Source organism: Homo sapiens, chromosome 5 (assembly GCF_000001405.40).
Source record: "Homo sapiens chromosome 5, GRCh38.p14 Primary Assembly".
Classification (NCBI taxonomy): domain Eukaryota; kingdom Metazoa; phylum Chordata; class Mammalia; order Primates; family Hominidae; genus Homo; species Homo sapiens.
Window position 1 is genome coordinate 172,823,512 of NC_000005.10, and position 24,655 is coordinate 172,848,166.

General features: G+C 49.7%; 1 protein-coding gene and 1 long non-coding RNA gene across 6 annotated transcripts in view, besides 8 other annotated features; one reads left to right on the forward strand and one right to left on the reverse strand.

Moving 5' to 3' along the window:
* Positions 1-502: an enhancer, noted in NCBI's record as "H3K4me1 hESC enhancer chr5:172250515-172251016 (GRCh37/hg19 assembly coordinates)". NCBI's record gives its function as "activates a minimal SCP1, AML or CMV promoter by ChIP-STARR-seq in primed H9 embryonic stem cells {active_cell/tissue: H9 hESC(primed)}" and the evidence as "EXISTENCE:reporter gene assay evidence [ECO:0000049][PMID:30033119]".
* Positions 503-1,002: an enhancer, noted in NCBI's record as "H3K4me1 hESC enhancer chr5:172251017-172251516 (GRCh37/hg19 assembly coordinates)". NCBI's record gives its function as "activates a minimal SCP1, AML or CMV promoter by ChIP-STARR-seq in primed H9 embryonic stem cells {active_cell/tissue: H9 hESC(primed)}" and the evidence as "EXISTENCE:reporter gene assay evidence [ECO:0000049][PMID:30033119]".
* Positions 10,593-10,992: a silencer, noted in NCBI's record as "silent region_16627". NCBI's record gives its function as "represses an Ori minimal core promoter by ATAC-STARR-seq in GM12878 lymphoblastoid cells {active_cell/tissue: GM12878}" and the evidence as "EXISTENCE:reporter gene assay evidence [ECO:0000049][PMID:35858748]".
* Positions 10,740-24,655, forward strand: part of ERGIC1 (endoplasmic reticulum-golgi intermediate compartment 1) — a 118,433-nt gene continuing 104,517 nt past the window's right edge. For all 5 annotated transcript variants that reach the window (NM_001031711.3, XM_047417410.1, XM_047417408.1 and 2 more), the window contains exon 1: positions 10,740-10,922. In NM_001031711.3, the coding sequence (NP_001026881.1) occupies positions 10,903-10,922 (20 nt within the window). In that variant the 5' untranslated portion in view covers positions 10,740-10,902. The remainder of the gene's footprint in view (positions 10,923-24,655) is intronic.
* Positions 11,363-11,412: a silencer, noted in NCBI's record as "silent region_16628". NCBI's record gives its function as "represses an Ori minimal core promoter by ATAC-STARR-seq in GM12878 lymphoblastoid cells {active_cell/tissue: GM12878}" and the evidence as "EXISTENCE:reporter gene assay evidence [ECO:0000049][PMID:35858748]".
* Positions 11,423-11,502: a silencer, noted in NCBI's record as "silent region_16629". NCBI's record gives its function as "represses an Ori minimal core promoter by ATAC-STARR-seq in GM12878 lymphoblastoid cells {active_cell/tissue: GM12878}" and the evidence as "EXISTENCE:reporter gene assay evidence [ECO:0000049][PMID:35858748]".
* Positions 11,486-12,478: an enhancer, noted in NCBI's record as "H3K27ac-H3K4me1 hESC enhancer chr5:172262000-172262992 (GRCh37/hg19 assembly coordinates)". NCBI's record gives its function as "activates a minimal SCP1, AML or CMV promoter by ChIP-STARR-seq in naive H9 embryonic stem cells {active_cell/tissue: H9 hESC(naive)}" and the evidence as "EXISTENCE:reporter gene assay evidence [ECO:0000049][PMID:30033119]".
* Positions 11,973-12,182: an enhancer, noted in NCBI's record as "active region_23646". NCBI's record gives its function as "activates an Ori minimal core promoter by ATAC-STARR-seq in GM12878 lymphoblastoid cells {active_cell/tissue: GM12878}" and the evidence as "EXISTENCE:reporter gene assay evidence [ECO:0000049][PMID:35858748]".
* Positions 12,479-13,470: an enhancer, noted in NCBI's record as "H3K27ac-H3K4me1 hESC enhancer chr5:172262993-172263984 (GRCh37/hg19 assembly coordinates)". NCBI's record gives its function as "activates a minimal SCP1, AML or CMV promoter by ChIP-STARR-seq in primed H9 embryonic stem cells {active_cell/tissue: H9 hESC(primed)}" and the evidence as "EXISTENCE:reporter gene assay evidence [ECO:0000049][PMID:30033119]".
* On the reverse strand, positions 13,839-17,359 carry LOC124901135 (uncharacterized). Its single transcript, XR_007059054.1, has 2 exons — positions 16,688-17,359; positions 13,839-14,062 (listed from the first exon to the last, which is right to left on the reverse strand). It is a non-coding gene; the product is annotated as an uncharacterized LOC124901135 (long non-coding RNA).

Below are 24,655 nucleotides of genomic sequence, written 5' to 3' on the forward strand. Positions count from 1 at the left end.
AACACAGGCCTCTTCCTTGGCCCTGGCCTTGCTGGACACGGGGGCCACAAAAGCCAAGTTCCTGCTGGCCCTGGTATCACTTCACTCTGATTTACATTCATTCCTCCAATAAATCTTTACTGATCACCTACTGTGTATGTGCCAGTCACTATTCCAGATTCTGGGAACCAAACACGTACCAAAAAATCCCTACCATCATGAAGCTGAGGTTCTAGTGGGGAACAGAGAAAACACGCAAAACAGGTAAATGAAAAATAAATGAGTGGAATTGTATGTTAGAAGGTGATAGATGCTATGAAAAAAATAAAGAGTAGGGTAAATGGGGATCAGGAGTGTTGGGGAGGTATGTAACTTAAAATAAGGGGCCAGGAAAGCCTCCCTGAAAAGATGTTTGAGCAAAGACTTGAAGAGGAGGGGGCTGGACAAGCAGCCACTGGGGGAGGGCAGCAGTGTAAAGGCCAGGGGCAGGAGCATCCCTGCTGGCTTGAGGTGTGAAAAGCCACTGCAGCTGGAGCCGAGTGAGCAAGGGGAGGGGACCAGGAAAGGAGGTCAGAAGCACACTGAGGCAGACCCTGCAGACTGCAGGCCATCGTAAGGACTTGCCGTTTATTCTCAGTGAGACAGGAGCCTCTGGCATGTTCTGAGCAGAGGAGGCACATGGTCTGACTTCGGATAAAAGGTCAGTTCTGGCTGTGGTGTTGGAAACAGGCTGAAGGCGACAACGCTGAACACAGAAAACCAGTTGAATAGCAATGCCTGACCCAGGTGAGATATGATGATGGCTTATATCAGGACAGCAGTCATGTGAGGTGATTAAAAGGGCTCAGATTCTGGATCTGAATTTTGAAACCCAGGGAGACTGACATCAGAGTCAGGGTCTGCCACAGTTTGATGACCCTGGTAAACCTCCCTAGCTTGGGCGGTGACCCTGAAAGGGCTGTACCCTAGAAGTAGGGGTGAAATAAAAGCAAACTAGTCCTGAGCTTCAGGTCATCTGGGTAAGCTAGTACATTTCAGCCTCTGAACTTGAAATAAGGTGATCCTAGAATGCTGATTTGCTCCAGGTGCCTGGAGAAAGGGATTTTTAAAAAAATCATCCCAGGCCTAAAATTATTTTTATAAATATTTTTCCAAATACAGTATTTTTTTTTTTAGCGCATAATCGAAGATAACCAGATTTCATGAGGGGAAAATACACCATGAATGGTAACAAGCAGAAATGGATCTCAAGGACTCCAGACATGGAAATTATCAGACACTGACTGTAATATAATTATGCTTCCTATGTTTAAGGAGATTAAAAGTCATGCCTGAAAATTCTGTAAGGAGACTGGAAACTATACAAAGTAACTGTGTCAGTCATGTCTAGTCCTGAATATGATGGCATAATCTAGGTGGTTAGAGGGGAGTTTAACTAAGCGATGCTTTTATTTTTATTTTCATCATTTTTTGAGACAGGCTCTGGCTCAGTCACCCAGGCTGGAGTGCAGTTGCATGATCTTGGCTCACTGCAACCTCTGCCTCCCAGGTTCGAGCCATTCTCATGCCTCAGCCCCCCAAGTAGCTGGGATTACAGGCATGTGCCACCAGGCCCAGCTAATTTTTGTATTTTTAGTAGAGACAGGGTTTCACCATGTTGGCCAGGCAGGTCTCAAACTCCTGACCTCAAGTGATCCACCCATCTTGGCCTCCCAAAGTGCTGGGATTACAGGCATGAGCCACTGCACCTGGCCAGATGCTTTTAACAGAATGAAAAGAGTATAGGGAAACTACAAGAGATACTCTAGAGCTAGTACCCTGGAGTAAGTAACAGTGGAGTGCTATTACTATCCCAAGGCCTGAAGGGGAAGGAGAAGAAATGGTTACTGGAACTAAGAAGAGTGGACCTAGGTGAAGAGTACCACCTGGTAGAAATTATGATGTTCACTGAAGGACACGGTCAACCTGGGTGACCACTCAGGGCAGAAGCTGGGCAAATACATACCAAAACTTCATTCTTCTCCTTCCTTCCAATCTACTGCAGGTACTCCCCACAGGCTGAAATCAGCCAGAAGCCAAAAATAAGGAGCCATCAAAACAGGTCAAGAAACCTCCCAGCACACAGAAAAGGGTGAAGAAGCAGAGTTATTCTGGAGGGACAAATAGAAGGCACCTGGCACAGTGAAGTCACATATTTGAAAAAGAACTAAACACAAATTCCAAAACTGGGAAATACAATGATAAAATTAATAATTCAATGGTCAGGTTTAATAGCAGATTCAATACAACCAAAGAGAGAATTAGTAAACTAGAAAACAGGTCAGAAGAAACTATGTAAAATTAACAGAGAATAAAAGCAAGATGAGAGAAGAGAGATAACGGGGCAAAGTTAATATCCACAAATAAGTAGTTGGTAATTTTCCAGGGCATTGAGAAAACATCAATCCACAGATTCAATAAGTCCAATGAACCTCAAGTCTACACTCATACTCATTATAGTGACCCTGCAGAGACAGAGAGGAGTCAGGGATGATGGTAAGGATAACAGGCAAATGGAAACTAATGGAGTTGCCCTGGACTGAGAGGAAGGAAAATTTGGGAAATTTGAGGAATTGACTGCCTGGCCCCTGTAAGCCCTTGTGTTTGAGCCCCCTAGTCCCCGGATCTTCTGAGTAGTTCTACTGCCTCCAGACCCATTCCCCACTCCCACTGACTTGGGCCTACTCCCCTTCTCTTCTCAGGAGATTGTAGCAACCTCCTCTTTGGCCTCCCACTCCAGTCCCTTCTCCACATTGGCTGCCAGAGTCATGCTTCTAAAAATGGCAAATGGTTGGTGGTATGATGTGGCCTAATTGTGGGTGATATACTTCTTTCCTACTGCTCTGGTTTCTACAAAGAAGGATTTCCCCTCAATACTCTGGGCTCCCCTCAAGCCCCACCAGGTAAGATGGATGAATTCTGACTGGTGAGTGTGGGACTGGAGTCTGACATGGTGGTGCTCAGCTCTTCCTTTCTTCTTCCTTTTGGGAGAAGACCACCCGCAGGGAGCTGCATTTTGCTCTCCCCTCCCCAAGAAGGCCTGTACTTTTTCTTTGCTTTTTATGCCTCCTGTGTGGGTCTGTCTGCCAAATTCTGAGGTTCACCATTAGGAAGCCCTCTGCAGATAGAAATCACATTTGTTCAGAGCATTGGCAGAAAAGAGAAACTATATTGGGTTCCCCAAAACCCCCAAACCAAATTATTGCAATACATCCTAACTTAAAATGCTTCAGGGCCTCTAACTGCCTACTAGAGAAAGTTCACATTTTTAACACAGCCCTCAAAGTCCTTCACCATCCAGCCCCTACCTCTCCAGCTTGATATTAGCCCAGGCTGCATCCATGCTGTCCTCTCTCCCACCACCCATGTTATTTGGATCCTTACCCAGTATGTAGCCAGTCCCTTGAAGACTACTTTATAAAAGGCAGACTCTCTTTCCTAACTCACACTGGGGAAGTCATATCATGAGCAGCATTATGGAGAGGTCCATGTGAGAAGGACTGAAGCCTCCAGTCAACAGCCAAGTGAGTGAGTGTCTATCCCTCACCTCCAGTCATCTGCAGAGTCTGTAGCCTTGACCGTGCCAGAACCACCCAGCTAAGCTGCTGTTGGATTCTTGATCCTCAGACATGGGGGCATAATAAATATATGCCATGGTTTAAATCCATCACCCAAATTTTATGTATTAGAAACTTAATCCCCTAATTCGTGTTGATGGTATTTGGATGTGGGGGCCTCTGGAAAGTAATTCGGATTATATAAGGCCATCAGGGTGGAGTCCCCCTGATGGTACTGGTGGCCTTATAAGAGGAAGAAGAGGTCAAACTCGGTGGCTCACATCTGTTAATCCTAGCACTTTGGGAGGCCGAGGCAGGCGGATCACCTGAGGTCGCCAGTTTGAGACCAGCCTGGCCAACATGGTGAAACCCCCGTCTCTACTAAAAAAAAAAGAAAAAGGCAAAGAGAGGCCTGAGCTGACATGCTCATGCCCTCTTACCATGCTATGCCCTCCACCATGTTATGAGACAGGAGAAAGGTCCTCACCAGAGGCAGCCCCTCAGCCTTGCCCTTCCCACAGCCCCCAGAACTGTAAGAAATATATTTATTTTCCTTATAAATTCCCCAGTCTGTGGTATTCTGTATAGCAACAGAAAATGGACTAAGACCTTGTGTATTGTTTTAAAGTTTTAAATTTTGGGTAACGTGTTTTGCAGCAATAGATAACTAATGTACCCAGCCTGCTTCTCTCCCCTTGACTAACTTCTTCATCAGGTCTCAGCTCAGACTCTTCCTCCTCCCAGAAGCTTTCCTGACTCTGTCCAAGACACCTGATGGTTTAGCCTCCCAATACCTCCTTCTCTGGCTGCACTGCCCAGACTCTTCTTTAGGGAACCACTCTTCTTCCATCTGAGTCTGTGTGTGTAGGATGAGGGTGACTCCACCCCAGGTTTGAGGGCCTGGCTGCCAGCCTAGGCCTGGCCAATCAGCACTCTCCAAACCCCTGGAGCCACTGTTTAGGCTGTGACCTAAGCCAGACCCTTGGGGGTCAGCCCAGGAGCCTTTCAGGAGGTACGGGGGAAGTGGTAATCTTTATCTCCTGGCATTGCTGAGTGGGAAAATATCAGCCTGGAGCTACAGGCACACATTTTGCCAGCACAAGGGGAAGCCTGCCTCAAGACGAGGCCAGAGGAAAACAAAGAAGAACCTGGGGATGGGAAGAGACAGATTCCTGATGCAATTGTTGAAGTGCCTGTATCCAACTGTGCCTGAAATCCAAATCTACCTCTGGACTTTTGGACTTTAATTTTTCTTTTTTCTTTCTTTCTCCCTCCCTCCCTTTCTTCCTTCCTTCCCTCCTTCCTTCCTTTTTTCTTTTTTTTTTTTGAGTGCCATAGACAGTGTGTGTTGCTTTTAGATGATTTCTGTCACTTTCAGCTGAAAGAGTTCAGACCAATTCATCCCCACGGGTGGAATCAGGGACTCCCTCTAGACTCCCAGATCCTCTGGTACCACCCTTGTCACTGCACTTATCACAAAAAACTGCACCAGAGATACGTGACCCTTTCCCTGTCCCTGATTTTTTTGTGATGGTATCACACTTTTGCTTACCTCCTCCCTTCTTTTTTGAAATTTGAGGTATGTCAGGTTCATTTCTACATCCAGAGTATCTGCCTAAAAGAGGTATTCAGTGAATAATGGTATAATGAACAAATACAAGAAAGGATGAATGAATGAACACATGAGTGTCTTCTAGTTGGTCAAGAGACTTTAATAGAGTGAGAAAGGAGAGTTGTTTCTCCAGAGACCTACCTGCTATGAGATCTAAGTTACACTAAAGTCCTCTCTGAGCTGACAAAGGATTATTATTTTTAAATCTCTCTTCACCCAGACCACAGATGAACCGGCCGCACCCATGGGACACAAACCCATCTCCCATTACAGAAAAACAAATCTGACCCAGCCATTCTCTGCTTAAAACAACTTTTGGTGATGTTTTGGACGGGAGTGGGTGGAAGGGAGTGAACATTTGGATTCAGAGAACATTCGGTGTTATAGAACATTCATTTGTTTATTGACTGACTCATTAGACAAGCAATGAATTAGCACCTACTATGTGTGGGCACTATACATGTTACTCCATCCTCACAGCAAGCTCTGTCTTAGGCCAATGTATTTGTTATCTGCTACTGCATAACCAATTACCCTAAACCTAGGGGCTAAAGCAACAAACATTTGTTATCACACAGGAATCCAGGTGCAACTCAGCTGGCTGCCTGTGGCTCAGAGTCTCTCACGAGGTTGCAGTCAAGCTGGGGGCCAGGGCCGTGGTCATGTCAAGCCTCCACTGGAGCAGAAGGATCCATTTCCAAATTCATTCACAGGGTTGTTGTCAGGCCTTAGCTCAACCTTGTCCAATGTGTGGTCTGCAGGCTGCCTGTGGCCCCGGATGGCTTTGAATGCATCCCAGGACAGCTTTGAATCCAGCCCAACACAAATTCTTGAACTTTCTTAAAACATTATGAGATTTTTTGTGATTTGTTTTCCTCATCAGCTATTGTTTGTGTTACTGTTTTTTTGTTTGTTTGTTTTTTGAGATGGAGTTTTGCTCTTGTTGCCCAGGCTGGAGTGCAATGGCGCAATCTCAGCTCACTGCAACCTCCGCCTCCTGGGTTCAAGCCATTCTCCTGCCTCAGCCTCCCAAGTAGCTGGGATTACAGACACCCACCACTACACCCGGCTAATTTTTTGTATTTTTAGTAGAGACGGGGTTTCACCATGTTGGTCAGGCTGGTCTTGAAGTCCTGACCTCAGGTGCTCGGCCATGGCCTCCCAAAGTGCTGGGATTACAGGCGTGAGCCACCGCACCCAGCCCGTGTTACTGTATTTTATGTGTGGCCCAAGACAATTTTTCTATTTTTTTTTTTTTTTTTGAGACGGGGTCTCCCTCTGTCACCCAGGCTGGAGTGCAGTGGCTCCATCTCTGCTCACTGCAACCTCTGCTTCTCAGGTTCAAGCAATTCTCCTGCCTCAGCCTCCTGAGTAGCTGGGATTACAGGCATGCGCCACCATGCCTAGCTAATTGTTTTTGTTTTTAGTAGAGACGGGGTTTCAGCATGTTGGTCAGGCTGGTCTCAAACTCCTGACCTCGTGATCCACCTGCCTCTGCCTCCCAAAGTGCTGGGATTACAGGCGTAAGCCACCACGCCCGGCCCCTAAGACAGTTTTTCTTCTTCCAGCGTGGCCCAGGGAAGCTAAAAGATTGGACACCCCTGCCTTAGAAGAATCACTTGCAAACTCACCCACAGGGGCTTTTCCTTAGGGCACAGAAGCCACACACAGAAGCCAGCTTATCCAGGGTGACTGATCCAAGAGATAGCAAGAGAGTGTCCAAGACAGAAGTCACCATCTCTTGATAACCTAATCTCAGAAGCAACATGCTCATCACTTCTGCCATATTTTGTGCATTAGAAATGAGTCCATAAGTCCAGCCTACACTTGAAGGGAGGAAATTACACAAGGGTATGAATACCAAGAGGTGGGTTAATTGGGACAATTTCAGAGGCTACCTGCCACAGGTAAGGTATTATTATCCTTCATTTCATACCTAGACACCCAGCTAGTTAAGCAACTGGTCCAGGTCACCCAGCAGAGAGTGATCTGAGTCCAAAGTGGTTTTCTATTTCCCCAGGCTGGCGGGGGGTGAGATGGAGGAAGGCAGGGAGAAGTTACTGGTAGGAAAAAAAAATAATGAGGATGGAGTCTCTGTTATTTATCTACTGCTGTGTAACTAATTACCCACAACTTAATGGCTTAAAGCAAACATTTATTATCTTATAGTTTCTATGGATCAGGAATTCGGGAGCAGCTGAGCTGGGTGTTTCTCAGGGTCTCTCAAGAACCTGTGGTTAAGCTGTGGGCTGGGGATGCAGCTTTGAAGCCCTGACCGGGGCTGAGCCGCTACTTCCAAGAGAGCCCACTCACATGGCTGTTGGTGGGAGGCCTCATTCCTCACCGACCAGGCCCCTTTATAATCGTGCTTGAGCCTCTTTAGGACAGGCAGTTGGCTTCCCTCAGAACGAGTGATTCAAGAGTGGCTAAGCAGAGCCTCAGTCTTTTGTGACGTAGCCACAGGAGTCATAACTGTCGTTTCTGCAATATCCTGTTGATTACACAGGATAGGTCAGCCCTATTCATTGTGGGAGGTGATTCTAGAAGGGCATGGGAATACCAGGAGATCAGGGTCACTGGAGGCTGGCTACCTACCACAGGCTTCCACAAGATTGATAATCCGAAAACTTAACTTGTATTGTTGTTCCCTGCTCAAAGAGACCCAGAGCCTTCCCACGTACTGCAGACACAATCTGATTTTCTTAGCTCCATCTCCCACTGGCTCTTGAGTGGATGGACCATCTGGGACTGACAGCCTGGTCTGCTCACAGACCTCACCAGTCCCACAGCGGAGGCCCATGTTGATACCTCCCCTCCCATCCGCTGTTCTGTTGGTAAGGCCTGCCTCCGTGGGAAGGCCTGCCTCCCTGGGAAGCCTCTATTCAAACTTCAACGCATAGTTAGTGCATCCCCAGCATGTGCAGGGTCTGGCTGGATGCTAGGATATGATGGTGATACCACCTTGTCTCAGGGAACTTTCCTTTTTTTTTTTAAATTATACTTTAGGTTCTGGGATACATGTGCAGAACGTGCAGTTTTGTCACACAGGCATACACGTGCCATTTGTGTATGGCATCATTGTTTGTGTACCCATCAACCCGTCATCTACATTAGGTATTTCTCCTAATGCTATCCCTCCCCTAGCCCCCTACCCCCCGACAGGCCCCTCTCAGGGAACTTTCACTCAGATGGGGTAGTAGTTACTAGCGAATTAATAATAACCTAATCACACGTCATGCCCAGTTCTCCCAAGGAAACCTACAAGGTACCATGCGATTATGTAATAGGGGACTGGCCTAGTCCATGAGCATTGGGGCAGTCAAGTAGCTAGCCAGGCTGCATAGGTGTATCAGCATTGGGTTTAGGTGTAAGTGTCTGAAAATACAGAATAACAATAGCTTAAATAAGATAGATGTTTGTTTCTCTTGGGCAGGTGTTTGAGGACAGGTATTTTGCCACTTAGAGACAGGAACTCAGGTTTTTTTTTTTTTTTTTTGAGACAGAGTCTCACTCTGTCGCACAGGCTGGAGGGCAGTGGTGTGATCTGGGCTCACTGCAACCTCTGCCTCCCAGGTTCAGGCGATTCTCCTGCCTCAGCCTCCTGAGTAGCTGGGATTACAGGCGTGTGGCACCACGCCCGGCTAATTTTTGTATTTTTAGTAGAGACAGGGTTTCACCACATGTTGGTCAGGCTGGTCTCGAACTCCTGACCTCAGGTGATCCGCCCACCTCGGCCTCCCAAAGTGCTGCAATTACAGGTGTGAGCCACTGTGCCCGGCAGGAACTTAGGCTCTTTTTGTCTTGTTGCTCTGCTCTGTGGTGGCCTCCACCTTATGGTCCAGGATGGTGACGCCTACATTCCTGGCAGCCAGATGGAGAAAGGGACACAGAGGGTAAAGCAGACATACCAACTATCCCAGATGCCCCACAAGACACTTCCCTTTACTTCTCAATGCCACATCTAGCTACAAAGGAAGCTGGGGAAATGCAACTTTCACTGTGAGCACCCACATGCCCAGCCAAAAGTTGGGAGCTCTATCCCCACTCGAAAAGAGCAATGATAGTCAACCCTGTCTTGCATTTACTCTGTGCCAGGCATTTGCTGACCTTGGATATCATCCCAAATGCACACTTGATTCAGTAGGTCTGGCCTGGGGACAAGAGTCTGTCCTGTGATGGCCATGTGGCTGGTCTGTGGACCACAGTTTGAGGAGGGAGGATTCGAGGTCAAAGATCCATCATTGCATGTTTCCTCCCACACAGGGCCAACGAATGGCTGTTTGGAAGCAGTGGCTGCTCAAGATCCCTTAACTCTCCCTGCTGTCCCTAGGTTTCCAGTTCAGGCTGAGATTTCCTTTTCTCCCCCAACAGTGTCAGACCACTGACACTGAATGAATGAATGAATGAATGAGTGAATGAATGAAAAGGGAACGCAGAGGTCAGGTCCCGGCATATGCTCTAGGGGAAGGCTTTGGTTCACCACGTCACCCTACCCCAGACCCCGTGCTAGTGTTGTCCCTTCTGAATCCTCCCGGAGGAACCAGCACTGCTGTTCCCCTCTATTTACACAGGGGGAAACTGTCCATTGACTCTGCTTTTGGAACCCGAGCCCTCACCATTCTCCCCTGGGTTTTTTGAAGCCCTGTCCCACCACAACCTTGGAGAAAGGGCCAGTGACAGAACCTCGGGGAAGTTCAGAGTGAGTTTCCCCTACTCAGGTCTTGTGTGACCTCAACTACCATCTCCTCTAATCCAGCAGTCACGGAGGCAGCTGCTCTGTATTCCTGAGGAGGAAACTGAGGCTCTAAGAAGGAGACAATCGGCACAGTCCACGTTGGCCAAGTCACAGTGCAGGTCCCATCTGCCTCTGCCACAACCCTGCATGTTCTCGATGGACCTGGTTCAGAGCAGATGCTCTGTGAATGCCCACTGGAGTGAACGACAGGGGCAGATGGAAGCAGGGACAGCCACTGCCAGCCTCAATAGTTTCAGGTGCCTGGCACTGTGCTAAGCCAGTCTCCTGTTTCTCAGCTGATCCCCAGGAAAACCCCCTCAAGTAGGTGTCATCGTCCTCTTTGTGCAGATATGCAAAAGGGGCGGGGCGGGGGGGGGGCGCTCTGAGAAGCCCAGTGGCTTTCCCAGAGAGACACGGCAGGGGCAGAGGTGAGTCCACCTTAACAGCCTAGGATGGCCGACCTCTTCCCTTCCCCCACAGTATTAGGCCCTCACTCAGAGCTAGACGCTGTGCACGGCCAAAGTCTGTATCACCCCGCCCCCCGCCCCCAACTCAATCACAGTTCAGTGAAACTGTTTACAAATGCAAAAAACTGGGCTCGGAGAAGCAGAGAATTTGTCCGAGGGCATCCAAAGAGATGGAGAAGGAAATCTAAGTGGGAGGCTTGAAGGAATGAGTACTGGAGTCTTTGGGGGACTCCCTTCCCTTCCGACAGCCTCGACTCTCCGCCCCTTCCCTGCCTGCCCGCGGGCCCCTTTAACCGGGTGGCGGAAGGGGCGGCCGGGCGGGCGGCGCCCAATGGGCTGCGCGGAGCGTCACTTCCCGGCAGCGGGAGGCGAGTGGCGAGTGGCGAGTGGCGAGTGTCAGGGGGGCGGCCGGCGGGGGCGGGGCGGCCGGAGGAGGCGTTGGCAGCGGGCTCGGACCCACGCGGCGCCGCGGCCCGCCTGGCCTGCAGCGCTCCCACCCCCGGCGGCGGCACGATGCCCTTTGACTTCAGGAGGTGAGTGTGGCGACCCCGGCCAGTCGGGAGTTCCCTCAGCGGGCAGAGGGAGCGCCCCGGCACGCCGCGGACCCCTCCCGCCCTGCATGCAAAAGCGGCTCCCCGCCCTGTGCATGCCTCCGCAGGCCCCTAGGGACCCCAGGCGAGCCCCCCCCCTGCCGCACACGAAGCCAGCCAGAGCCGCGGAGGCCCCCTCGTGCAGCGGGAGACAAATCCACCCACCTTCCCTCCGCCGAGCCCCCTCCCCAGCCTGCCCGGATACCTTGCATTCCCCTCCCCCACACTAGGAAACATTTCCTCCCTCCTCCCAGATGGGAACAGCCCATAACACCCCAGCATCCCTCTCCTCCCTCTACTGAGCCTCCTTGGTGGACCCCACCTCAGCTGACAGGTGGGGCAGGGCACCTGGAATGAGTCCGGAGGGGCCTGGGGCCCCATGCAGCCTGCCGGCAGCTGGAGGGTTTTAAGTTTCTATAGCCTGAGGCTCCCCCAGGCCGGGCAGATCGGGAGGCCTGCCCCCGCCCCTCCCTCCCTCAGCCCCAGCCCTGTCCGCTGGGTATGGGGGCACCATGGGAAGGGGAGGAGGCGCCTTGGGCAGGACTCTGCAGAAGGGCCACCGGGGTCTGGCCTTGGCTTTCTGCAGTCACCACAATGGGTCCTTTGTGGGGTCCAGCTGCCTCATGGTCTAGGTTGCATGGGGCATTCTGGAAGCCTGCGGGGGAAGAGATCTCCACCAGAGGTTCCCTTGAGGTGTGGAGCCCCAGGGGATGTCCTGGCCTGAGGCAGCCACACTTGGTGTCTGGCTGGGAAAAGAGCAGGGCTTTAATGCAGGGAGGAGCTGGATTAGAATCCTGGCTCTGCCCTTTCTACTGAACAGCTCGGTATATTCTAGAAGTTAGGGGCAAAGGCTCTGGGTTCAGAACTCCCTGTCGCCGCTCGGCTGGCTGACCTCAGCAAGTCTCCGAGCGCCCTCAGTTTCACCACCTGCAAATTGGGGCTAAAAATAAGGTCTCCGCTTGTGACGACTGAGTGCGTGAAACACCCTTAGCAGAGTCTGGCATGATTTAGAGCTCAGAAATAGGGCATTAGTGGATGGGGGGTGTTCTCCAGGAGGGGTTTTCCACATCCACAAAATAGTGATTCAGATGCCTGTGCCACAGGAGGTATTTCTTCCCCTCTTCTTGCATGTGAAGGCAGTGTAAAGTGACAGTCTACCCAGAGAGAAAGGCCCTTAGCCTGCCATGACCCCCATAGCATGGGATATATTGGGGTTTAGGCCCAAAGAGGACACTGGTCTTGGACCTCTTGATTGGTTGACATGGTTTTCCAGCCTGTCCGGGTCCCTGATACCAGCTAGCAAATGTTTGCCGGCTTCTTGCCCCTGCCGGGCAGCCCTGAGGCTAGCAGACCTAGGCAGTTTTGAACAAGGACAGCCCCTCTGGTGGAATTCAAGGTCAGTCCTAATAGCATCAGTTAAGTCTGGGCCATAAGAGCTGTGGTCGGCACATCAATTTCTGGTTCCACAAAGCCTCCCCTTACCCAGGCCAACCATAGGGATTCGTGCCACCGCCGCCCCCTGCCCCTGTGTGATTCAGTAGGTTCCGGTGATTTTGAGCTTGCTGGGGAAATTGCTGTTTTTGATCTTTTAATCCTTTCTCCCTGCACCTCACCCTTCCGTCTTACCAAGGAGGAAATGAGGCTCCAGGGATGAGGGCCTTATCTTGGACTTTATGGGTGCTAAATGGGAAGGGTAGACTTAGGTCTCAGGTCACACATGGCTCCCAACCTTGTGCTCCTTGAATTGGTGGCTTGTGGGGGCAGGTAAGGGAAGTAAGGAAAATGGGTAAGGCCAGCTCTAGCCTTTGGCCTTGGAAGGGCCCTGTGTCAGGCATTGATATTTAAAGAGAGAAATGCTCAGCTCTGAGAAGCTGGCTAGTCTGGGGCTCCCTTGGCATACTTCAGGTCCCTGAGTGCCCAGGTGTCAGGGGGCCCAGCTTAACTAGGAAATACTCTCAGGGCTTGGGCTCACTGCGGAATGGTGAGAATGGATTCAGTGCTTCACGTTTGCACCTTGGAGGATGAGCCATGTGTGCCCAGCAAACCTGCACTCTTTAAGCTCTGTGAACTTCAAGGCTCCAGGACCTGGGTTCTACTGAGGGTTCGACCATCCCCATGCACCTTCCTCCGCTTCAGTGTGCATTCATCAAGCATTCATCAAGTGTCCAGTCCATGCTCAGCCCTCTGCCACAGGCCCCACCGTGAGGAGGTGGGTGGCATGTGGTCCGGCTCTCTTTGCATTCCAAGAGAAGGGAGGAGGGCTTATGGGGTCCCAGGAGTGGGGGTGTGCGTGAACTGGCACGCAAGGAGCATCTACCACTGTATACACACTTTGGGGTGCAGACATCGATTCCCTTGTCACCTGAGAGAGGGAGTTTTAATCTTCATTTTAAATCAAAGGAGAGGGGAGCTCCACTGAGTAGAAGCCCTTTGCTCTGGCCATGCAGTGCATGAGCTGGTGGATCTGGGATTTGAACTTGGGGCTGTTAGCTCCAAAGCCTTAGATCTGGGAGAAAAGGGAGAGATTGGAGGGGCCCACCATCCTGTCAGCTCTTTTAAGAATTGTGGGGAGTGGAGAGGGGTATACCGTGATTAGACCTCCTCCCCCAGTTCAAGGCCAGGGAGAAAACCAGCCGTCCTGCTCGTGTTCCCCTTCTTAAAATCAGAAGCAGGAAAAATAGTGCACTCTTGCCCTTCCCTACGGATACTTCTGATTTTCTTACTGCCTGTAGAGCCTGGTGCAACTGAGTTCTGTGTTTTCCTGTCTGTGAAATGGGAATGAGGAGAGTACTCACCGAAGTAGAACAGTTGAGGGATGAGGCAGTGCGGAAAGCATTTAGACACAGAGTAAGCGCCTCATCCATTTTGGCCGCCATATTTATTTGTGTCATTTTATTTAAGCACCCATCATCTCCTAACACATTATATAATTCACTTAATTATCATGCTGCTTCTCTCTCCCTCCCATTAGTACATGAGCTCCTGAGGGCAAGAAGTTTTTATCAGGCTTCTTCAAGGTTGCATCTCCAGCACCTAGAACTGTGCTTGAGCCAAACTCGATCCTTGGAGATGCCTCTTGAAATCTGTCAAGGAAGCCATAGACATGACGTGACTTGATATGCCAGCTTCAGTGGGCAGATTTTCAGCCATTAGTGGAGAAATCTCCCCTCTCCACCCTTGAATCTGCCGTTCCTAGGTTGTTTTTGGGGTTAAGGAAGGAGGCAGAACGCAGGGGAGGGAGGCTGAGCTTTCAATGATTTATTGTGTTTGCTTTGCTCTTGTTAAATTGTTTCACTAATGGCTGGCTGTTGCAGTTGTGGAACTAGCCTTGTGACCCACATCCGTGTGTGTTGTTTCGAGTTCCGGCTGGCCTGGGGCCAGTAGCACCTGCTGCCTTCTGCACACCAGCCCAGGGTGGGTGAGGAGGGAAGATAACAGCATCCGGAAGCCCTGTGCCCAGGCCCAGTGGTGCCTGAGCACTGCCTTCCGGGAGGTGCAGGTGGCTGCTGTCCCACAGTGACAGCCCCCATGTTGAAAACCCAAGGCCTCGGGGGTGCCGCTGCACTGGCACTGACCAGATGTGCTCTGGGACCATTGACTTCCCCTCTCGGAGCCTCCATTTCTTCATTTTAAGGAGGGGATGTAAACTTCGCTGCCTCACCTGGTAGAGTAGATGTAGGGGCAAGTGTGATCAATGCACACTTGCAGGATCAATGTGCAATGCAACTTGCAATGCAGGATGAGGCCCATAATTTGTGGGGCCCAGTGCAAAATGAAAATGTGGAGTCCCTTGTTGAAAAAGTATTAAGAATTTCAGGACGGCAGCAGCAGCGCATTCAGCCAAGCATGGACCCCCCTCTGAGTGTGTGACCCTGTGTGCCTGCACAGGTCATGCGGCCCTGATGGGGCTGGCCCTGCTGCAGGGCCTTGGTTTGGCCTCTACCATTTTTCACTCTGGCCTTCTGAGTGGTCTTTCTCCCTCCAGGATACCCCAGACCTCCTCAGGACTCCCTAGTGAGCTTTCCAAAGTTGATCTGATATTTTCATGTCCTGATTTCAACCTTCAAATGGGTCTCATTGCTCTAAGGATCCAGTGTGAATTCCTTTTTAAAAAAAAATTATATAGAGATGGGGTCTTGCTATGTTGGCCAGGTTGTTCTTGAACTCCTGGCCTCAAGTCATCCTCCTTCCTTGGCCTCCCAAAGTGCTAAGATCACAGGCATGAGCCACTGCACCTGGCCCAGTCTTAATTCCTTAGGCCCCAATAGGGAATGGGACCCTGGTAGCCCCATCAGTTCCTACACCAAGCTAAGCCTCAGCCACCACAGGGACCTCTGAGCACAGAGTTAACATTCAGCAGAGAGTAGCTAACATGAATGCCTGTATTTCTACCCTGCTGTTTCTTCCAGAAAGAATTCCAAGGAAGCTGACAAGAACATATACTTTACAGCAAGTTTTAAAAAATATAAAATGAGCGCTGTGGCTCATGCCTGTAATCCCAGCACTTTGGGAGGCTGAGGTGGGCGGATTACCTGAGGTCAGGAGTTTGAGACCAGCCTGGCCAACATGGTGAAACCCCGTCTCTAATAAAAATACAAAAATCAGCCGGGCTTGATGGTACATACCTGTAATCCCAGCTCCTCGGGAGGCTGAGGCAGGAGAATTGCTTGAGCCCGGGAGACGGAGGTTGCAGTGAACTGAGATCTTGCCACTGTACTCCAGCCTGGCCAACAGAGCGAGACTCTGTCTCAAAAAAAAAAAAAAAAAAAAGTATATATATATGGGCCAGGTGTGGTAGCTCACACCTGTAATCCCAGTACTTTGGGAGGCCAAAGTGGGAGGATTGCTTGAGGATTGCAGGAGTTCAAGACCAAGCTGGTCAACATAGCAAGACCCCAGACCCCATCTCTATGGGGAAAAAAAAATGGCCAGGTGTGGTGATGTGCGTCTGTGGTCCCAGCTTCTTGGGAGGCTGAGGTGGAAGGATCTCTTGAGCCCAGGAGGTGGAGGCTTCAGTGAGCCATGTTCATGCCATTGCATTCCACACTGGGTAACAGAGCAAGACCCTATCTCAAAACACACACACACATACACACACACACACATACACACACATACACATACACATATAGCCTTAAAAATCAGGGCAAAAAGAAAATAAAAATTAGACCAGAGAGAAAATTATGTGAAAAGGCCAGTATTTCGGGTTTATTGAACATTTGCTAGTGCCAGGCACTGTTGTAAGGATCTTACTGTATCAGCCCCTTTAATTCTCCACAGTCCTACAAGGGAGGTGCTGTTGTTACCCCACTTTACAGGTGAGCCAGTGGAGGTGCCACAGAGTTCGGAAACACGGTCGTTCCCGTTCCTGGAGCTGGGATTGGAACACTGCCATTTGGCACCAGAGCTCCACTGTGTCCTGTAGGCTCATCTCTAAAGCTTTCTCTTTTCCATTCACTAAATTCAGAGAGAACTGAGAACTCTTCTAATTGGATTCATTGGGTTTCTCTTCACTAATCCTCACCCAACAGTGCTCATTAAGAAGCTTAAAGCCATCAACTTTTTTCCCCCTAGCCTCATGTAGCGTGATACCTGATTCTGAAATGGTCTTTAAAGACCCTCACACCAGCTAATGGCATCACCCTCGAGGGGCTCAGTTTTCCCACGCTGACCAGTGGGGGTTTTCCAGCTTAGAGCATCATGTTTACCTGCTCGCGGGGACATGGAATGAGATGGAATGTCCTCTCCTCCCAAGGCCGTTTGGATTCCTGACTGTGGTGCTGTAGTAGCAGGAGACAGGGCTTTAGCCAGCTGTGTCCTGGTTAAGTTACATTCCCCATCTGGTAATCCTTTCGTATTTTATTTGGAGTTACTCCTAGCCAGTTTTTGTCAGGCGTGGGAGAGACAGGCAGGGTGTGAAGAGGGTATTTGGGGTGAGGCTTACCCGGTACATCTAAATCAGTGAGCCTCAACCCTGGCTGTATATTAAAGTCTCTCATGTGATTCTAATGCACAGCCAAGACGGAGGAGAAGTGCTCTGAATTGGGAGAAGCAATAGCAAGCAGGGCTGAGAGCAGCAGGGGAGCCAGGTCGGGTGGCGGTGGAGAGCCTTGCCTCGGGAGGCTGGGGCGTGGAGTTCCCGTCCCACCCATCACTCCTGCATGACCTTCGGCAACTCTGTTACCCCACCAGTGAAGTGGACAGTAAGGGGCCGTAACTTTCTACTAATAACCTTGCTCTTCAAAGTGCAGTCCCAGATGCCAGCTTCAGCAGCACCTTGGAGCTTGTTGGAAGTGGAGAATCTCAGTGCCCACCTGGAATCTGAATTTGTATTTTAACAAGATCCCCAGGTGATTCATGTATTCATTAAAATGTATAAAGCCCTGGTCTGTATGATTGATTTGACTCAGTGTCCTCCAGTCTGTGTCCCTCCATGCCGCACTGGCTGCCTCACTGAGGACTCTGAAGAGTCCGGCACTGAGCGAACCAGAGTTATTTGGTTCAGCCCAACATTTGCCACATGTATAGTCTCAGATGCCCTGTTGTTTATGGAGCAGCTAGTGCCATTTCTCAAAACACAGTTTGGGAAACACAGCCCTAATTGATCCTTTAAGGAAGTGGCAATTAGCCTAATTGTCTGTTGTCAGCTTTAACTTTTAGGTCTATTAACTTAATTACATTGATTGTATATGTGGGAAAAGTACAGGACAGGAAAAAAACCTCCAACGCTGGCTGTCTTTGTTTAAAAAAAATCTTGACCCACGGGAGAGGCAGGGTGAACTCAGGGTTCTCCATACAGCCAAGAGCCAGGGGACATGTGGGGTCCTTTACAGATACCTCTTCTCCCTCTGAGTGGGCATGATCCTTCCTGTTTTATGTCCAGGGAAACCGACCCTCAGAAATGCTGGGAAACAGCTGGTGCCTCTGACAGCGTAATCCTCATGCCCTTGACAATTAGCCTTCCTCCTGGCACCTGCCAGGCAGCACAGCTACACAGGAAGGCAGATCCGCTTGAAATGGACAAACCATTCTGTTTCTCCAAAAGGTGGAAACCCTATTCGAGATGAGAGGCCTGGCTGTAATTACAGTTAGTAAAGTCAGAGGACCCGGATGTCCCTGATGTACTGGGGACTGGCGTTGTGATAGCCCCTCCATGCATTAGCTTTCCTTTCTCAGATTCTGGTCTGGGTCTTGAATATCTTTGGAGGAGGAGAAGTAATGCTCATCTTATTAGCAATACCTCACGGCCCTTCAGCTTGTAATGTCTTGAGCACTGGGCTAGGCATGTCATTGGACTTATAAAATCACACTGGCCTTACAGACAGATACAATGATTCATGATTTATTTTCTTTGTTTTATTTTTAAAGTTAGCATATGATAAAATTAATGTGTGTTTGTGCACTCTTCTATGAAAGTTAAGGCTTGTTTATCATGTAATCACCACCATCCAGATACAGGACAGCTCCATCTCTATCACCCCTCACATCTCATGCTGTCACTTTATAGTCATACTATTAATTTGGTTATTTTTTGTGTGGTAAGAATACCTAACATCAGAGCACCCTCTTTTTTGAGACGGAGATTCCTTCTTGTTGCTCAGGCTGGAGTGCAATGGCGCAATCTCGGCTCACTGCAACCTCCACTTCCCAGGTTCAAGCAATTCTGCCTCAGCCTCCCAAGTAGCTGGGATTACAGGCATGCACCATCAAGCCCAGCTAATTTTGTATTTTTAGTGGAGATGGGGTTTCACCATATTTGCCTATTTTAGATACTTCATGTAAGTGGAATCATGCAGTCTTCATTCTGTGTCTGCCTTATTTCACATAACGTAATGTCCACCAGTTTCATCAATGGTGTCACAAATGACAGAATTTCCTTTTTTAAGGCTGAGTAATATTTCAAGGTGTATATATACCAATATTTACCCATTAATAGACATTTAGGTTGTTTCCACATCTTGGCAGTTATGAATAATGCTGCAGTGAGCATGGGAGTGCAGATGTCTCTGAGATCCTGATTTCAATTCTTTTGGATAAATACCCCAAAGTGGGACCGCTGGATCCTATGGTAGCTCTATTTTTAATTTGTTGAGAAATCTTCCTCCTGTTTTCCATAGTGGCTGCACTATCTTTCCTCCCCACCAACGGTGTACAAGCATTCCCTCTCCCCACATCTTGCCAACATGTCTTTTGTTTTTCTGGTAATAGCCATCCTAACAGGTATGAGGTGCCATTTCATTGTGATTTTTATTTGCATTTCCCTGATGAATAGAGATTTTGAGCATCTTTTCAAGATCTTGGCCATTTGTATGTCTTGTTTGGAGAAATATCCATTCACATTTTTTGTGCTTTTTAAAATTGGAGGGTTTTTGGCCAGGCATGGTGACTCACACCTGTAATCCCAGCACTTTGGGAGGCCAAGGTGGGTGGATCACCTGAGGTCAGGAGTTCGAGACCAACCTGGCCAACATGGAGAAACCCCATCTCTACTAAAAATACAAAAATTAGCTGGGCATGGTGGTATGCGCCTGTAGTCCCAGCTAGTTGGGAGGCTGAGGCAGGAGAATTGCTTGAACCTCCGGGAGGCGGAGGTTGCAGTGAGCCGAGATTGTGCCACTGCACTCCAGCCTGGGTGACAGAGTGAAACTCCGTCTCAAAAATTAAATAAAATAAAATAGAAGTTTATTTTTGCCACTGAGTTTAAGGAGTTGCTTATATATTCTGGATATTAGCCCCTTATCAGGTGTATGGTTTGCAAATGTTTTCTTCCATTCTGTAGTTGCGTTTTCACTCCGTTAATGTTTTCTTTATTCAGTTTTAAAATGGTAAGCCAAGGCACAGAGCTGGAATGGGAGTGGCCCAGGACACAGCTGGTGAGGTGCAGAGCTGGGGTCCCAGAGCCTGGCACCTCACATGGTGCTATCCTGCTTTGCTGATTTTTCTTGCTGATTTTTATTATTCTTCACTAGATCTTCTCTCCCCTCCCACTTTCACACCAACATATAGAATTACCTAAAGTATCCTTTAAGAACTTTGGGAAACCCTGGTGATATTTGGCGTGTTTTGATGTCTTGCTGGGTCCAAGAGTATGTTCATGGTGTGCAGAAAGAGTCTCCAAGTCTTCAGGGGAAAGTGGTATGTAGCGGTCCAACCCTGGCCACCCTTTCTGAATGGTCTTCGCCCTTGCAAACCCCTCTGGGGACTGACCACAGGTCCCCTGCGGAACGCTGTGAAGTGCCCTTGGAACTGACCCTCACATTGCACTCATTCGGCAGAACTCTCTGGATTGAAATCCCTTCCTCAGTGTTTACCAGCTGTGGGGCCCAGGACAAGACACTTTGCCTCTGCAAGCCTCAGTTTTCCTCATCTGCAAATTGGGGTGCTCATACTTTCTTTGCGGGGATTTTGTGAGGGTGAGATGAGCTCATGTGGAATGTGAGACAAGTATACTTGGAGGCGGGAGGACATTTCCCTCTCCTCTGCCTTTCCTGGCGGCATAGTCCTGTGCACCTCACCGAGCCGTGATAGATGGCAGTAGTGGGTCTTCTGGTAGGTGGACGTGGTAAAACCAGGGCCTCCGGGGTTTGCAGGGCACAGATACAATCACATGGGAACACCTGAGATGGTCAGACCCAGAGTTAGACCCCTCTCCCTTTGTGGTACCCACACAGCCATAGACGTCAAACACCAGTCTGTGGTAAGGGAGAAAGTGGCCAGAGGGTCACACACTCAGGCGCCCCTACCTATCAGCAAGTACCTCAGTCGGTGATTGGGCAAGATGTGGGCCATGGCCACCTGGAGCGCGAGGCCCTGTGGGGAAGGGACAGCTGACATGCAGCTCTGTTGCTTACTGCCTACAGATGCCCTGATTTTTCAAGAGACAATGAAAATCTGATAAATTGCGTGAAAATGGTTGGCCACTGATCTCAATTTTATTTCTGTTAAACACCAAACAAATCCTTCTGAGGGCTGACGATAGCCTATGACAGGCAGGGTGCCGCCTCTGTGTCGCACATGGCAGTGTGACCAGGACAAGCTCGGGGTGGGCAGGACCTTGGGCTCGTGGGAGGTGGCCTGGTGGGCATGGACTTGAGGCTGGAGGCAGAGGAGTGAGGGACCCACAAGTCAATTTCTTTGGGCACAGGCAGCCTCGGGGCCCCATCCCATGCTAAGCCCCCTCCCACCCGGGGCCTGGCCTGGCCCTAGGACCTTGATTCCTTCAGGTTTCAGCTGGGGCTCCCCTCCTCTGATGGTGTGGGAATGGCACCACTGGCCCCTGCCATTGGACCTGCTGTCCTCTTTGGTGATCCTAGGGCTGGCCCAGGTCCTTTTGGAGTGACACACCCTTCCTGCACATCCTTCAATACCTTCGTCCCCGGGGTGTCTTTCAGGTGACTTCCCAGGGCTATGCTGTGACAACAGTAGTGCCCACAATAGTCACTGCTTATCAAGTGCTAGACTAAAGGCTTTTCTTGGATTCCCTCAGTGCATCCTCAAGTCAGGTAGGAGCCATTTCCCATTCCCATCTTCTTGAGGAGGACGCAGGGGTATATAGGGGGGACAGGACTTGGCCGAGGTCACACAAACAGCAGGTGATGCCGCTAAGTCCCAAGTGCCTGTCTCTGTGCCAAAGCTGGCTTTCTTAGCCAGTATCACGCCCCAGGAGGGGAGTGTTGTTACCCTGATTTTCTTGCAACCCCTCCGTGGATACCCTCCATCTACTCAGCTGTGTTTACAGTCTGTTGCCTTGGGGGCAACAGACTGTAGAAGTGGAAGCCTTGGGGGGCCCTGGTTGCTGGAGAGGAGGCCGGGCCTGGTGACCATTTCCTACCAGCCTGTGCATCTGTGGGCGAGAGATTATGCTGAGCCCCTGCCGGGGGAGCCAGGAAGGCGTGCAGCACTTCCTGTGGGCAGCGGGCAGGGCTGGTCCTCTTGCCGGAGGATGCTCTGGCCAGTCCCCAGGGCCCCTGTCCACAGACCAGGAGCAGCTGGGCCATAGAGTCATCTGTTGGTTGAACACATTGATTGAGGGCCTGTGTGCCAGGTATCATTCTAGAAGCTGGGGACATAGTGCTGAGCCAAACAGACAACCCCTGCCCTGCAACTCATGATTTAAAATTCATGTTTTAATTCTGGTATTTTGCTTCTCTCTCTCTTTTAACTAAATACACTTTTTATTTTGGAATAGCTGAGATTTACAGAAAAGCTGCAAAGCTAGTACAGACACCCTACATCCATTCCGCGAGGGTCCCCACCTTCCATTACCACATTCTCACCACTAGGAAACTGACCTTTGCTCATGACTATTCTCTAAACTCTGGGCTCTATTTGGATTTTGCCCATTTTCCACTGATGTCCTCATGGCACCCCAGGATCCCATCGAAGGTCCCACATTTGCATTCAGAACCTGTGTGTCCCCAGGCTCCTCTGGGTGGGGGCAGTTTCTCGGTCGGTCCCTGTTTTCTATGACCTCAGCAGCCTTGAGGAAGACAGGCCAGGCATCCTGTAGAATGTCCCCAGCCTGGGTTTGTCTGATGTTTCTTCCTAAGTGGACAGGGTTATGGTTTTGGGGAAGCATCCCCAGAGGTGAAGCGCCCTTCTCAGCACATCCCATGGGGGTCCATGGCATCCATTTGACCTCTCTGGCGATGTCGGCCTTCAGTACCTGGTTAAGTCCTCATTTGGGTTGGTGGTCTTTCTCCCCCTCCCCCAATCCCCTGCACCCATCATTCCTGTAAAGTGACCCTCCTGGAGGGAAGTGGACTGACTCCCAGCATCTAGAATCCCTTGTGTGATGCTACGTGACTTAACAGCGCCTCTTTCTGCGCTGTCTGTGCAGGACGCCCAGCACTGGGCACTTTGAGTCACTTCTGAGCCCAGCAGCGTAAGATGGGGCAGGAGAAGGAGCTTGTAAGAACCCATTGTCCTCCCTGGCCTGCCCCTTGTGCCAGGCTGATGTCAGGTGGTTTATAGTCATGATCTCATTTCACCATCATTACACACCTGCATGGTAGGAGGAACTGTCTTGGCTCTGAGTTGGGAGACAGCAGAGCTAGGATTGCAGCTGATCTGGGTCCCCACTCCACAGTCTTTGGATTATGCCCTGTGCCCTTTGTAAGAAGAGCCAATAAGAAGGGCTATAGGAACCATGTCATAAGAGTAACCTTCAAAGGAATAGGAAGGTTTCTCCTGGCGCAGGAAAGTGTTTTAAGAGGTGAGCATGAGACTTGACCCAGAGTCTTTTAAGTCCCTTACAGTAGACAGTGGTGGGCCTGTCTGGAGCTCATTGCTGTGGATTCAGGATGTGACTCTTGACTGCCGTGAGGACTAAATAAGTTTGCCTCTGTAAAGCCCTTAGAACTGTGCCTGGCATCTGTTAGGTGCTTGATATCTATTCGTTACAGAAAAAAGCACCAGGATATCCAGGCTGTCAGAGAAGATTTATGGATGGGCAGGAAATTGGACTAGAGATGCCTCCTTTGTGTTAGCCTAAGTCAGCTAATTCCTATAAACAACCTGCAGATCTCAGTGCTGTAATGCAACACACGTTTATTTTTTGCTCAGTGTAACTTATGCTGGGACTTGATGACTGCTCATGAAGTCCCAGCAGAAGATGGGGTGCTCCGCTCCCCCTGGGTACTCAGAGGCCTTGACTCCTTGCGTCTTCTGGCTCTGTCCTCCTCTGGGGTGTGCTGGATCCTCTCCTTGGCCTGGCAGTGGTGGGGAGAGAAAGGAGGATGGGGACAATTGGGTGGCAGGTCAAGATGTGGGGCCATCACTTCTGCTCACACTCCTTTGTCCAGAACTCAGAGACCTGGTCACACCTAACTGCAGGAGAGGTCAGCAAATACAGTCTAGCAGTGTGCCCAGAGGAAGAGGAAAGAAAGTGCTTTCATGAGCATGTTAATAAGCATGTCTCTACCATGGCAACTGAAATCAGTGGTTTTTACCCTTCCACTATTCTGCTACTATCATCATAATTTTTGGCAGATTCCTAAACAGCATGTGATATATATATATATTTTTTGTTGTTGTTGTTGTTGAGAGGGAGTCTTGCTCTGTCGCCAGGCTGGAGTGCAGTGGCATGATCTCGGCTCACTGCAACCTCTGCCTCCCGGGTTCAAGTGATTCTTCTGCCTCAGCCTCCCAAGTTAGCTGGGACTACAGGTGCGCGCCACCACACCCAGCTAATTTTTGTATTTTTAGTAGAGACGGGGTTTCGCCGTGTTGACCAGGATGGTCTCGATCCGTTGACCTCGTGGTCCACCCGCCTTGGCCTCCCAAAGTGCTGGGATTACAGGCATGTGCCACCACGCCCGGCCACATGTGTTATTTACTTAATATTTTTTCTTTGAATTAATCAGGTTTTGAACTTAACACTTTTACTGATGAAAGGTGACCTTATAACATCTTTGGAAATGGAAAAGCAATAGCTCCTGCTGTAAATTGATACAAATAATTGCAATGTGTTTGGTTCTCACGAGCATCTGGTGCCTGGTGAAGTTGCTGGGTTTGTTAAAAAAGAGATATTAGCAAGTGCTAGAGAGAGGAGATGTTGAAGACATAGTAGTGCCACCCTGAGGCTTTCTCGTTGATATTCTGAGCATACTCAAAAGAGAGCTGAACAGGGAATAACTTTTTTCATGGTGGGGTCTGATGTCATTTAACCACCAGGG